Source organism: Homo sapiens, chromosome 1, assembly GCF_000001405.40.
Source record: "Homo sapiens chromosome 1, GRCh38.p14 Primary Assembly".
Taxonomy (NCBI): Eukaryota; Metazoa; Chordata; class Mammalia; order Primates; family Hominidae; genus Homo; species Homo sapiens.
Window position 1 is genome coordinate 202,537,941 of NC_000001.11, and position 15,455 is coordinate 202,553,395.

The window sequence follows — 15,455 nt, forward strand, 5'->3', positions numbered from 1 at the left end:
ACATCATATAAGATCTGAATTCCCAAGATAATTGGCAAGTTGTTTTTGTTTGTTTGTTTGTTTTTGAGACAGAGTTTTGTTCTTGTCGCCCAGGCTAGAGTGCAATGGCACGATCTCAAGGCTTACCGCAACCTCTGCCTCACTGTTTCAAGTGATTCTCCTGCCTCAGCCTCCTGTGTAGTAGCTGGGACTACAGGTGCCCCCCACAATGCCTGGCTAATTTTTTGTATTTTTAGTAGAGACAGGGTTTCACCATGTTGGTCAGGCTGGTCTCAAACTCTTGACCTCATGTGATCCACCCACCTTGGCCTCCCAAAGTGCTGGGATTACAGGCGTGAGCCATTGCACCTGGCAACAGTTGGCCTTTGAGACACACTGTATTCTGGTTTATGATAGAATTTATCAGTCTTCTTAAGGAAGATGGAATAATTTCCAGGACCCCTAATAAAGGGGTTCTGATTCATTCTCAATCTAAAAGAATGAGTTTGTAAAACTCTTTTCAACCTATATTCCTCAGACCAACTTCCAAGTAGTTGATCACTTCCCTTGATTTAATTTCACAAAGTTAATCATAGGAATAAAGAAGTTGTCAAGGCAGTTAGAAAAGAATAGCATATTGAGAAAGTTTGAAGTGAAAAGTATAAATTTCATGTGGAAAAAGGGAAAGCAGGATAGAGTTTCCAAGAGTCCAGAGAAAAGAGGGTTGTTACTTTGGGGATAAACCCGTTGGCTTAGAAAACATTTGGCCTAGAAATTTTGGTTAGTGTAGTGGTAACAACAAAGTGCAAAAGATTAAATTTTAGATGTTTCTTCCAGGTCAAATCCAAAATCCTTCAACACTATGCAAATAAATTCCTCTCTTTTTAATTTCGTTTTCCCTGTACTACTGAGTCCTGTAGCCTTGCAATTGCACTACTGTCTGTTTTCTCTCTTCATTTCTGACCCTTCTTTCTTTTCCCTCACCTTTATACCACTTTCCATTGTCATTTTCCCGATTGTGGCATCTTAGGAAACTCTGGTAAGCTTTATACTTACAGATCCAGCCAGTAAGGTCTGTAATGGACAGATAACTTTCTTTGCAGTGAGCCAGAGCTTCAGTTTGCTTCCTCACGGTGCAACAGGAATGGCATCTCATTAAAATTGAACATTAAGGGCCTGAAGGTGCTTTGACTAATTTTTCTGTCTGGGCGTTGTTACTTAAGAGATCTAGAAGTTGAAAAATCCCCCTTCTCATAGTATTCGGAGCAATCAGCCTTAGAGACTGCTGCCTACTCTGAGGCAGGGGACACTGGAAGGTTGGTGAGGTTTGCCTCTGAGCATGCCCCCAAAGAGCCTCCCTTTATTCCTAGAAGCTGGCAGGCTTTCTTTTCCTCCTACAAGTGGTAACCCGAATTCTGAGTTGAAAGTGAATCTTTGCCCTTGGCTCCTCTCCAGCATTCCTCACTGAGCGAATAGGGATTTGGAATGTCAGAAAATAGAAGAGGGGAGGGGAAAAGATGTGTGTATGACTGTGAGTGTTTATATGTAAAAGCAGCTTCGTCTGGGAGGACTTAGGGAAACTTGACTTCCTCAGACTGCTTCCTTCTTATAAACTCTTGGTTCCTTATTTATCATTTTTCGTTTTTGTTTTTTAAGTTGTTTGACCTGATTTTATCATAGTAGTTCCAAATGCCTTACAGCCCAGTGGAGTCAAGCTAAGGAAAGACAGCATGATTTCCACAGGATTTGTATTTCTTCCCTCTGGATAAAGTGATAGTAGTTCCCAGACTCGCTGCCGGCAGGATCCAAGGTCGTCTTTCCTCCGGGATTTAATCTGGTGTCATCAGGAACCTAGACTCAGGTTTTATTGGAGAGCAAGGCTCAATAAGAAGTGTCCTTTGAGGAGAATCAAGGACTCAATCTAGGCATAAAAGGTGTTGCTCAGCACAATACCCTCTACGGTAAGCTACCAGTCCTGAGAACCTGTGGTCAAAGCTGAATTGAAAATATTGATGGAACTCAGACTCTGTGTAACTGGGGACTGGTTCAGAGCTCAAGACTATAATTTACAGGGCTGCTTTTATCCTTTATTTAGTTCTATCCAAAGTCATCTTGCATCAACTCAAAAGGAGAGATTCTGTGAGGGTAACCTACAGGGAAATTTCCCAGCTTTGTGTGAAGAATCCAGTGGTTGAGTGTCTATCTGCATCCTGAGGAACCATGTCCTCTTTATATACCCGAAGTAAAGAATTCACTCGGAATAGGAAATCTCAGTCTGATTCTCCCCCAGCATCTCCCTCCCCGACTGCCAAGACGCTCCGAGTAAGCAGCATTTTTTATTTACGTATGTTCATAGCTGTGTCAAAGGTAGAGAATGTGTATATATATAACTTGGGGCATTAGGTTTAGAGCAAAGGGATTTCAGAGCATATGGGAATCAGTACAGGGAAAAAAAATTGCAAGTAAAGACCCTGTAAGTTTCTCTGCAAGAGGTTATGGTTCATAATACTTAATGTAGTCTTAAGTAAAAGCAGACTTAAATATGTCGGGCTACAGTTTCTGCCTTTTAGCTTTTAACTATCGGTTGTAAACTGCTTAACAGTAAGATTTTACAGTCCTTATCACTTTATCTTACAAGGCTTTTCTCAATTTCTACAGCTATTTTAGTCACTGCCTTTCTTGTGTTTTATGAGTCAATACTATGTTTCAAGAGAAAAACCTCTGAAATGGCCACACAACTATATACATTAAACTTCAGTTTTGCAAGTTCTGTGTGTGTATTCATGTATGTATGTATATGAGGTAGAGTATGCTTTTGCCTATTTTGTATGTCTGTCTGTGAGAAAGACCAAAATGAGCAATGAGCAAGGAGTTATGGCCACTTGGAACCTTACTCCTTAATCACCAAGTACCTTCAGGAAATGTCTTGCTTAAAAGCCAAAGAACTAACTCTTGGCCATTGACAACCAGCTGTATGGAGGTGTTTGTGATGTCCTAGGTAGAGCCATTTGAGACTTTTCTCCATTTTCTCTAATGAATGTCTCAGTGAAGAGATTTACATATGGGCATTTGCATCTGATTTAGTGTCTTCCTCTGTGGGAAGCTGATAAAAGCAAGAACTGCTACCAATAGCAAGGGATGAGAAGCTCTGATGGGCATATTAGGTAGCAGGCAATATAACAGTTACTTTTTCAGGAACTAGATTGCGCTTTGCTGTATATACAGAGTAAGAAGAAGGACGGCCATAGCTTCCTTATTTAGGGAGCTATGGGGAGAAAATTTGCAAGAAGCCTGGATAGACTAGTGTGGGTTTTTTTTTCCCCCAATTATTTTGTATGCATTTTCAATGTCTTTCTTACCAGTATAAATTACCATGTAGTGGAATTTGGTATATGGCATGTTGGTCTAAGACCTCAGCTAGGGATGAGAATACCAAAAGAATATTGTTACGAAGTTATTTTATTCACAAGTTTTTGTGAGAGCACCAAGAGGGGCTCCGATATATATGTTACTGTCATCGAGTTCCAGGAGTGTCTCTTCAACACATAGACTGGTACCTTTTTTTCCCAAGGAGCCACAGAATGCTTTCACCCCACTAGCTGTTGGGTATTTTTTGCTGGCTACCAATTGAGGTCCACAAAACTGAACACCTTACTTCAGTTAGTGTTTATCTTTGCTCCCTTCCCTCTTATACTGAGTAGTACCTTTAGTTGTAAAGATCCCCTTATTAATGTCTCTTCACCACTATAACCATAGCTCCCAGAGCAATGTGGTGAGCAGTCAACAATAACCTGTTTGGTGACCTTCCCCCATTTTCCCTTTCTGTTTTTCCTCTGCTTTCTTAGAGTTAGGTACTGCTTTCGTCTTGTCTCACTTCTAACAGCTGCCATCCAACCTCCCTACCCTCGTTTCACCACCCCTCATCCCTGCCTTTTAGACAGAGGTCACAGTGGGAGAAAATCTGAGTTACAGGAAACTAAAACACAGATGGCTTAATAAGAGACTGCTTCCCAATTTTAGTGGTCACTGGCCGTGGATTCCTACAATACCATCAACTTACTCTAACCAACTTCCAGTGTCCAAATGGCTTGAGACTATAATAAAGAGAATGTTGATTTTCATATACCACTCATGTTCCATTATGTTGCTTATGTCTTTAATGTCAGAGAAAGATATGCAAGACTCATTTGGTGGCTGCTGACACTAAGGACTGGTTATAAAATGAAGATTTCATCTCTTAAGATCTCCCTAGCCTAGTTCATTTCCTCTCATGTCCAACTAATTAGGGTACTCTTTAAAAACTGGTTTTGAGTGTATTTTAACAACTGGTTTTGTGATGGTGTTGTGCTCATATGTCTTTTGATGCCTGGTTGTAACTGGCTGGTCCTCAGCCACCCTGAAAGGTGGGTATTGCTATCCCTATTTTACATATGAGGAAACTGAGATACATAGAAGAGAAATGGCTTGCCTAGCATTGCTCAACTAGTAAGCAGCAGAGCCTTGATTAAAGCACCAAGCTCTCTGACTCTAAAACCCCATATTCCCAGCAACATTGGAGTACATCTCAAATATATTTGAAGGTCAAGTTTAAGAACATGCTAAAGGGCAAAGATGACAGTTAAAAGCTTAAGTAGCTGTGGGAGTCCAAAATTTATCCTTGATGGAGACACAGGAAACTGAAATTGCAGAAAGGAGGAAAGCTGTATTTATAGGCCAAGGGAGGGAATTGGCAGGCCATAACTGAATCTCCTGTGCCTGGTTCTCAAATCCCAGTCATACTCTCTGGGACCATGGAGCCCACAGAACCTGAGACCTTATGGGCTTCAGGGTCTTTGTATTTCTCTAGAAAAGTGGAAATGCTTGAGTCTTTACAGTAAAGATACTGGGAAGTTTCTGTGTGCATTTCAGAGTTAAAGTCAGGACAGCTCTCTTACTGTCCTCTTCCAAACTTCTTTAACTTGTTTGTATACATACATACAGTTTCTTCTAGAGATGGCACAGAGTTACAGAGGGACAGCACCTGATCCAACATTCTTCAAAACGGAGGATTGAAATTTCAGCCAGCATTTAGAAGTTTGATTCTTTTTTTTGAGTGTTGTTAACAGGGCTAAATAGTAAATGCCCCCATATAAGGAAAATATCCTCAGAGAGTATTTTTAAAATAATAGCTATTCACATGGAGAGAATATTTTGGACACTGTACCCTTTGTCAAATGTTCAAGCAGTAGTAAAGGCAAACTATAAACTGTAAGTCAAACAAGTTATTATTTTTAACTTGAGAAAACAAAAGGCAGGATGATTTTTCAGTGACTAGAAAACAAACTTTTATTATATATGTTTACTTTTAAACTCGTAACAGCAGCTGATGATATACTCCCTAATGAAAAATCACTCATATATAGAAGATAGTGCATGTCCTCACCAGCCAAGAAGATTTTTGTTTACCTTCTCTAGTTTGTATTTTGAAAATAATAAATATTTTTAATTCTCTGAACACAAAATTATGCTATTAAACATGGTTTTTAAAAATATACATCCCAGCTGGGCGCAGTGGCTCACACCTGTAATCCCAGCACTTTGGGAGGCTGAAGCCTCGTGGACCACGAGGTCAGGAGTTCGAGACCAGCCTGGCCAACATTGTGAAACCCCATCTCTACTAAAATTACAAAAACTTAGCTCGGCATGGTGGCGGGCACCTGTTAAGCTTTTCGGGAGGCTGAAGCAGGAGAATCGATTGAACCCGGAAGGCGGGGGTTGCAGTGAGCCAAGATTGCACCATTGCACTCCAGCCTGGGCAACAAGAGCGAAACTCCGTCTATAAATAAACAAAGAAACAAACACATCCCTCTTCCTCACTAGAGAAAATTTCATCCATCCTTTTGGCATGCCCTCACTCGCTCCTACCGACAGTAAGAATGACTGTTATAAGTGGTATGCTCCTAATATTGCTATTTTGGTCTCTGTTGATCCTAAATAATGAAGTAATTTTTTTTACTGCTACTTTTGGCTTTCATATGAAGTTTCCATTAGTTCAGTATCTTTTTTGTGTCTAAAAGTTGAGAAGTTCCCTTAGTAACAGCTCTGATCATCTCTGATTTGTTACTCAGGAAAAGCGGAAAAACTTTCAGATTCACTTGCATTTCTAATGGGAACCACACCAGGTAGATATTGATGAGAATTTGAAAGCTCAGTCTCTTTTCTCATACCACGAAACAACCCTAATATAAGATGCTGGGTTCATACAATTAGTAGTAAAACTTTCTTTTGACAGTAATTTTCCAACATTAAAAAAAATTATTTTTCTTCTGAGTCTTCGTAGTTAAAGAAAAAATTCTAAACTACAAATACATTAGACACTTCTAGCTCTTGATTTTTAATTACTATGTATATTATTGGGTCTAACATTTATAAATTCTATAAATTAGGAACTACTCAATTTAGATGGTTTAGCATTTTTAAATTATCCTAAAAGTAAGAGCCAGGTAATCTTTGGTCAGTATTCTCAAATTTTTCTTATTTGCTAATTTAAAAATTTTTCAATGCAGGGTATATTTAAAGGAAACAAATACTAGAGTATGTCCAAATTGTAGTGCTTATCTGATATTTATTATATTGAATAAATCTTGAAGTAAGTGGGTCATTAGCTGAACCCTGGGAATCTTTTAATTAGGCACATTTTCATTGAATTGGTATTTGTTATAATAGGATTTGACCTGTATTTATAAAGCAAGATCAGTAGCATTTTCCCATTTAGTCTGGATTGCTATTCCTTCAGTTCTAACATGTCAATTTAAAAAAATGACAAAAACAAAAAAATACAAAGATGTTACATAATATTTTTCAGTCAGCCATTAATGTGCATAAAGGGAACATTTAATCAATTAGCTTTGTTTTATAACCAGTCCTACAAACTAATTAGGGTACATTTGATAAATAATTGGATGATAAAGGATTGTTGCCTTCATGAGAGCTTGTCTACATAGCAACTTTGGTTAGCAGGCCAGAGGCATTCTGCCTCTTTGCCTTCCAGACTGTCAGTGTTGACAATTATTTTTTGCATGTGCTTTGTGCCTTCCTCTGACAAGTACCAAACAGTTATTTAGCATATTATCGTATCCTCTATACATCCAACACTACATCTGATGCACTACCAATCTGGAATCCATTTTTACTCCACTTTATAATCCGTTGTCATGGAATGAGAAACACTTGGATGAACAATGCTAATTAAGAGTGCAATCTGTTAACCATTTTTTCCGCCTAATTAAAAGCAGGAGTGTATTCGTTTTGGGGGTTTTTTATTTCACTCAAGGAAAATCAATAGCAGTAATTGTTCAGCCCAAGGAATCTTCCTAGAATAGTAAAACCTGTGGGAATAAAAGTAGCTTTCCCATTTGGACCCATTACATGAATTCTTAGTAGAGACTGGCCTAGTTAACTCATGTCCTACGTAGAGCTGGGGGAGATGGCATCTGAATTCTTGGTTTGTTGACCAGAGAGACTGGGAGCTTCGAAGACATCAGCTCCCTTTCCTGCAAGCGGTGTCCTGCCCTTCTACTCTAATTTTTAGTTCCATGATAAATGTGTATCAAAGCCATCTGCCCTATTGTGAATCCTCCCACAACATTTTATGAGCATCTGCTTTGTAGTAGGCTTTATATTGGACACCAGTATTCATAAATGAAAGACACAGTTCCTGCCCTCAAAGAATTGGCAGTCTAATTGGGGAGATAAAGAAAATCAAGAATTAGAACACCAGGGAGGTGAATTTTCTAATAAAGACATAGGTTCAGGGTGTTTTAGATCAGCCATGTGGTTAATACATTAGCCTGATGTTTGGAGAACAATAGAAGCTAGATGGACAAAGAAGGAAACAGTACATTACAAAGGTAGAAAAAGAATATGAGAACATAATGGCATTATTCTGAGAGCTGCATATCGGTGTGGCTAGAACAAAAGATATATTTAGAAATGTAATAAGAAATGAGAGAGGAGGCTTAGCAAACCCAGGTCACGTGAGGCTTAGTATATAATTTTGAGGATTTGGGGAGTTATCCTGTGGATAAAGAATAAAGGAATGAAGATTTGAAGTAAAGTTGCTGTGCTCAGAATTGCATATTAGAGAAATAACTTTGGCAGCTATGGAAGCTGGACTGGGAGGAGGGTCAGGACATGATCAGGTCACTGGCCTTTGATTGCAGTATTCCGGGTGAGAAATGTTAAGGGCCTAGGCAGAGATATTTTTTCTGGGAAATACAGAGAAGCATTCAGTTGTTTAGAAGGTAGAATTGATAAGATATGGACTGATAGAATGGGGATAAGGATGAGCCTGAGAGAGGGCAGAGTCAGGAGTGACTACCAGGTCTCTGGTTTAGGTGACTGGGTAGAAAATGGTATGATAAGTATCAGGTGCAGGGGCTCACACCTGTAATTCCAGCATTTTGGGAGGCAGAGATGGGAGGATTGCTTGAGCCCAGGAGTTTGAGACCAGTCTGGGCAATGGAGTAAGAACTGTTTCTTCAAAAAATTGTTAAACTAGCCAGGTATTGTGGCACGTGCCTATACTCTTAGCTACTTGGGAGGCTGAAGTGGGAGAATAGCTTGAGCTCAGGAGGTCGAGGTTTCAGTGAGCCATGATTGCACCACTGCACTCCAGCCTGGGCAACAGAATGAGACTCTGTCTCAAAAAGAAAAAAAAAATAGTGTGACAAAATTGAGTTGGCAAACACAGGAGGCTAAATGCTGTTGAGTGGGGAAATGGTTTCACTTTGGATATGTTAAATTAGAGGTACTTTGGGACATTCAGATAGTGATTTCCAGAAACTAGTTGGTCTGACGCTTGGGAGAAAATTATGGGCTAAAAATACTGATATTTATGATTGAAGCCATAAGAGTGGTAAGCTTGTCTAAGGAGTAGATGTAACATAAGGAAGGGCTGAGAGTAAACCTCGAGAGGAGTAACCACAAGCAGATAAGAGATATGTTTCTTTTTCTAATGGCGCTTTCCTATTCCATCACCACTGGAATCACATGCAGGAAGACAGCAGGTCTTGTATCTGGTTTCTTTGTTCAAAGGTATTGTGGTCAAACTTATGTTACGGTGATGAGTTTCAGTTCTCAAAGGATTCAGAAATTTAGTTAAGGGTCAATTGGTTATGAGTTTTGTGTTGGGTTCTAGTTTTGTTTTCAGTACCTAACCTAAGCTGTGTGACAAATACCTAAGCTGTGTGACAAGGGATTATTTTTTAAAGTTTGGAAAAGTTCCCAGACTATTCAGCATTGGTTTTTAATTTCTTTTCTTAATCTGATAATATTTGGGTGAGCTGGCAATTTATTACTGTAAGAAGACCAAAGGGAAACAATCAAAGTTGCCTTTCATCAGCTTTTTATTTCTTTTAAGCCTCTTTTTTATTCTATTCTTGACCTGGTTATCATGCAGTGAGTGATGGTTATCCACAACTGGGATGTTAGTTCTCATAACAGTTCCAAAATCCAACAGCTTTCTTTGGTTACACAGCATGGAAAGAGTTCTACCAGTGACATGATTAGATAAAGATACTGAAAGTGTGTCTGGACTTTAACCTCTTCATAGGTCATTATGAAAGCAACATTTTCATATAGGAGTTGTACATAAAATTGCAAGTGGCTATTTTAAAAGTTGTTTGTATGAAAAGTTAAATATTCTAGATTTAAATAAAATTGTAAAATAGATGAGAGTATATTATAGCATTTTAAAAAATGTTTTGCGTTGATTTCCAAAATCAACTTTACATGGTTGGTTGTCTGGAAGGACATATATCCATCCAGACAGTAAAATAATGACCTTAAATGTGTGTAGATTAGAAAGGGAAGTAGGAATTAGCCTGGATAATCAAAATCTACAAATAATCAAAACCCTTTACTTGAGTGCTGAGGAATTTATTTGAGCTTATTCCTCTTGTAGCCAACAAACATTGGGAGAGCCAAAAGACCAAAGAGGGACAAGAGAGAGAATAGAAAAAAGTACAGAGAACTGTAGTAATATCAATAGCTAAAATTTATTGAACATTTACTCTTTGTCAGTGCTGTACCAAGCACTTACATTTATTGTCTCATTTAATACATTTGATAACCATAAACACCAAGTTTACTATCTCATTTTAATGACAGGGACACTGAACAGAGAAGTTAAGTAATCATGTAAGATCACATAACTTAGTAAATGCTGGAGCCAGCAATCTGGATCAGGAGCCTCAGCCTTAACCAGTAAGGCATGTAACTGTTCTAGTGAAACTACTGTCTCTTCTTTAAATAGCTCCTAGATTATTACCAGTATCCCTGACTATTGAATCTGACTTGGAAAGAGAGATGACGACAACAAAAGCTATATTAAGGAAAAATGTAACAGAATTACAGGAACAGACAAACCTAGATTAGTAAAAAGTCAGAATGTTTTGTTTTGTTTTGTTTTGTTTTTTTTGAGACAGGATCTCGCTCTGTCACCCAGGCTGGAGTGCAGTAGCACCATCATGGCTCACTGCAGCCTCAAACTCCTGGCCTCAAGCAATTCTCTTGCCTCAGCCTCCCTAATAGCTGGGACTATAGGTGTGCTGGGGCCTCACCAACTTGTTGACCAAGCTGGTCTCAAACTCCCAACCTCAAGTGATCCTCCTGCCTCAGCATCCCAAGGTGCTGGGCTTACAGGTGTGAGCCACTGTGCCCAGCCAAAGTCAGAATTTTACATAATTTTAAAATAGGTGTGGTGGTGCATGCCTGTAGTCCCAGATACTCAGAAGGCTGAGGCAGAAGGATCACTTTGAGCCCAGGAAGTAGAGGTTGCAGTGAGCCATGATCATGCGCTCGCTCACTCGCTCGCTGTCTCTCTCTCTCTCTCTCTCTCTCTCTCTCTCTATATATATATATATATATATATATATAATTTTAGTATTTATAAGTATCTATGATAAAACTCAGGACCTGTTAAATTGTAACAAGTTCTGAATTAGTAGGGCCTGAATTACTGAGGTTTTTCTCATCTGAGGAGACCCTTCCCTGCCAAAACCAAGAAAATAAACTACAAAAGCATCCCCTGTCCCAAAAGTCTACATTTTAAAATACCTGTTCTGCTCTGGGAGGTGGTTTAGCCCCCTAAATAAGAACCTTGTGCATTTGAAGACTCAAGTTCCCTATTGGGGGTATGAAAGTGGAAGAATCAAAGAAAGCTTCAGTTCTTTATCCTTCTGAACTTCATCTTTCAAGGCAGACTAGCACTTTGGGATGACTGTGGCCCTCGCAAGGCCCCAACTTATGTAAGATCACTTACAAGTCACACATAATAGTGTCATTTTTCATGACCACCCAGTTTCAGACTTCAAGCTGATGTATCCACTAAGCTTGTTCCTTCCATTATCACCTTGCCAAGAATATCTAGTCAGTATTGGTCTCTCCCTTTCCTAACTACCCCTTTTTATTTACTGTATGTACTAGATGGTCTAACATTTGATTGCATTTAATCAATTACCTTTTTTTTTTTTTTTTTGAGACGGAGTCTCGCTCTGTTGCCCAGGCTGGAGTGCAGTGGCGTGATCTCTGCTCACCGCAAGCTCTGCCTTCCGGATTCATGCCATTCTCCTGCCTCAGCCTCCCGAGTAGCTGGGACTACAGGTGCCCGCCACCACACCTGGCTAATTTTTGTATTTTTAGTAGAGACGGGGTTTCACCGTGTTAGCCAGGGTGGTCTCAATCTCCTGACTTCATGATCCACCCGCCTCGGCCTCCCAAAGTGCTGGTATTACACGCATGAGCCACCGTGCCCGGCCAACTTTCTTGAATTACACTCTGTTTTATGAGTGTGCATATTTTACCTCCTCAGAGAAGAGCTCTTTGAGATCAAAGAGCCATGTCTTAGATTCTGTAATTGTCGATTTTATTCCTGTAAGTACTACTCACAAGGCTGGGCACATACAGGTGCTTAATGTAAATGCAGGGAATGAATGCTGCTGCCTGAGATTTGATCTCTCCGCTCCTATCCCATTTAGCCATCTGGAAAGGAGTCAGAGGCCACACACACTTGAGAATCTTATTTCTAACATGAAGGCTAACCATAGATCTTCCCAAGTCAATTCAGATTCCTGTTTATTGCAATTTGCTAGTATATTGGTCACTCCAAAATATGTGAGTTAATATTTTTGTTTTTGTGGGAATCAAAAGAGAAAAAGCCTGTGGAATCTACTAGAAATAAAAAGTTCTACCCTATGTTACTTAGGTCCCAAGTATTAATATTTATTTCCTCATGAAATGTGAGGTCTGGAGAGCCTCACTAATTCCTTTGTAAAAGTTTTGATTCACAGCCTAGTCCAAATAAAAATAAAGTTACTGCTACCCAAACAGGCTGCTGGACTGTGACATTTACCATATGAAAAAACCCGTCTCTTCCCAGGCTTCATGGAAAGCTTACTTCCTAAATAGGTATAATGGTGGTCAGTAACATCATGACAGGCTAGTGGGGAGAGACCTGGAATCTCAATTAGAGAAATGGAGTGAAACTCAAACAGTGGGATTTAAGGCCTAAATAAGGACTTTTAAAATTTACGATATACTCTATGCTGTATTCTAACAATATTTTGGAGGGACTGATCAGGCTTCTTAGGTGTTCATTGAGGCTGTGTTTTTTTTTAAAATCATCTGAATGTATTTCATAGTTTCAGATGCCCATACACATCTGTGTGAACCTAAAACTCCAAGCTATGGGGAAAGTAAATATAGATATTAAATGTGAGAAATGTGACCCATGTGCTAGAGCCACACAAGTTTTAGAGCTCCTCATTCCCCTGTTGGTCATTTTCATCCTATATAGTACACAGCATGTGAAAGGCTCGATGGAAAATATGCCGGAGGCTGCAAATGCATTTATGAATCACAAGAGTTTATGAATTATACATATAAAATGGCTTGCCTTAGGTATTTTATGGAGGCCTTAGTATATCCATATATTTCCTTCTACAATGAGTGCATTTTGTGAGTTTCCAAAAGATCAGAAATTCTTCAGAAGCTGGGAATATTCACAAAAGGGAGGTGCAGGTCTGCATAGATGCTAAGAGCTTTAAAATTCTAATAATATTAGGTAGCACAATAGAGACAACAAAAGATGAGTCTATCATTTAATGAACTTAATGGTTTTTCTTTTAAAATATAGTGATATGTGCTGCAATATGTGAGATGATGTTACATGATATCATTTTTACATGCCTTAAATTGATAGGGTAGTCACAATCTGGCATATGAGATTTTTCAGAAATATTTATAATATGAACTGAATGTAAATACTGTATTTGACTATGTTTAACTTTTTGTTCTATATGTATTAAGTAGTCAGTAAAGACAAATCAAGACATATAATATGATGAAGACATATGTGATTTAATACTTGCTTTTAAAAGTTAATTTTTCCTTGGAAGTATACTCTCTTACACATATGTATACCAGGTCACATGGACGCCTGTTTTTTTCCCTGCATAAGACAGCACTTTTGGTATTGCCCTGATTCTGAATGTATGTAATCACCTAGTGCAGCTGAGAGGCCATGTGCTATGGATGTTTCTTTTAGGATGTTACAGATAAATTAAACCATTTTTTTTTTAAGGGAGATCCTTGTGATAGTTGGAATTTCTAAAATGCCTCCCCAAAAGTCCTCACCTGATCTGTAGAACCCACGTATATGACAAGATAGCTCTCGCATGATTGTTCTGTTACATAGCACAGTTGACCTTAAGTTAGGGAGGTTTTCCTGGGTGGGCCTGAGCTAATCACATGAGCCTGTGAAGGCAGAGAGCCTTCTCAGCAGATGATGGAACGGGAAGCCAGAGAAATGTGAAGTGCGAAAAGAACTCAGTGCTTCAATGCTGGTTTGAAAATCAGAAGGGCCATGTGAAAAGGAATGTAGGAGCTTCTGCAAGCAGTAAGCAGCCACTACCCTGCAAGGCAGTGGGTACCTGAAACCTCACAGGACTGGATTCCTGCCAACAGCCTGGATGAGCTTGAAGCAGATTCTTCCCCAGATGCTCCTGATAAAAGCCAGCAGCAGACTCCTTGATTTCAGACCGTTGAGAACTTGAGGAGGGAACCCAGCAGAACTGTGCAGACTTCTGACCTACAAAACTGTGAGATAATAAATGGTTTTAAGCCACTAAATTTTGTTTTGGCAGCAATAGAAAACTAATGAAATTGAAAATTTGATGATAATTTTTTTGATATAAAAAACAGCATAGGCCTCATTATCATTGCCCTCTACTGTCACATCTTTGCATAAATCTTGGAAGTTGTTGTTCCACCCTCACATTTATTTCCAGATTATGCAGGATCCCCAGATAAATTACTAGAACAATGCAGGCTTCACTTCAAAGTTAGAGACTGGTAGATTCTCTTTATTTCAAGTTTCCTAAGAATCTTCTCTGTTTGAATTATGAAGAAATCTTTTCCCTTAAGATAGAAGGATGGAAAACTTTTGTCTCTCTTAGACTTATATATGAAACCAGAATGATTCTTAAACTCAAAAGTTACAAAATTATACTATTTTGCAATTAACTCAGACCATGATTAGGTTTGCAGTACCTCTGAAAATTTGAAGGGTCCTTGCTGCAGCCACACTCACATCATTGGCTTGTTCATCATCAGTCAATATTCTGAGAAAACTGAAGGGAAAGAAGATGGTTCTCTGTAGACCATCCCAGAATAGCTCAAATTGTTTCCCCTGGCTCAGCTAGTACACAAGAACATAATATAAAATGTTCCTTCTGCTTAGTCCCTCTTCAGGAGAAAATGTAAATAGAAGTTTTTTCCCATCACTGTGGGGTCAAGCCATGACTTCAAAAGGAACTTGAGTTAAACCAGTTTCAGCCTTGGCAGCAGACATGTGACTTGGTCTCATTCCTTTCCCTTGGGCCCAGCTTTCCTGAGCCACAATTTTATTTTAAACTTGGTAGGAGTTTGGTTTTAATTATGTGCCTTCCTGAACTCCTGATAACTTTCAAGTTAAAAGTTTTTGTGGGGATTTTTCTAAGCCAGTCTCTGGTGTTTTGAGGGCCCTACACATTTCACAAATCAAAACCAGTCTGGTTTCTGTCCCTTTCTAGGATTGCCATCTGAATTAATGGTGATCTTCATTCTGTTCTTTTATTAGAAACAGGCCCAAGCAATGAGATTATTACGGGAGAATTTCAAGAGGTATGAAAGAAAGAAGTCTGCTTCTTAGTTTTGGGACATTTTTAAAACTATGGTCTATCCAGCTAATCATTCTTTTTACCTCTACTCTACAATGTATTCATATTGGTTTCTGAGCAGCTTTTAGTCTCTTCTTCTCTAGAGTCTCATTTACATTATCTGTTGTCCCCAGTTGGGCCATAAAAGCTGTGAAAGTAATTCCTTCTTTGAACAGTTTCTATCTAGTTCAGACACACTAGAGAGTCTCATTTTAGTGGCCATCATTTGTCTTCAACAGA

The 15,455-nt window shown here is 39.0% G+C and overlaps 1 protein-coding gene across 17 annotated transcripts in view; it reads left to right on the forward strand.

Moving 5' to 3' along the window:
* Positions 1–15,455, forward strand: part of PPP1R12B (protein phosphatase 1 regulatory subunit 12B) — a 244,004-nt gene that overhangs the window by 189,242 nt on the left and 39,307 nt on the right. The window contains exons 1-2 of one of the 17 annotated variants that reach the window (XM_017001355.3): positions 1,533–1,940; positions 2,075–2,301. The exons of 15 other annotated variants lie outside the window; for them this stretch is intronic. In XM_017001355.3, coding sequence (XP_016856844.1) covers positions 2,200–2,301 — 102 coding nt within the window. In that variant the 5' untranslated portion in view covers positions 1,533–1,940; positions 2,075–2,199. Of the gene's footprint in view, positions 1–1,532; positions 1,941–2,074; positions 2,302–15,455 lie in introns of those variants that run through there. One more of the 17 variants, NM_001197131.1, reaches the window with a different exon arrangement.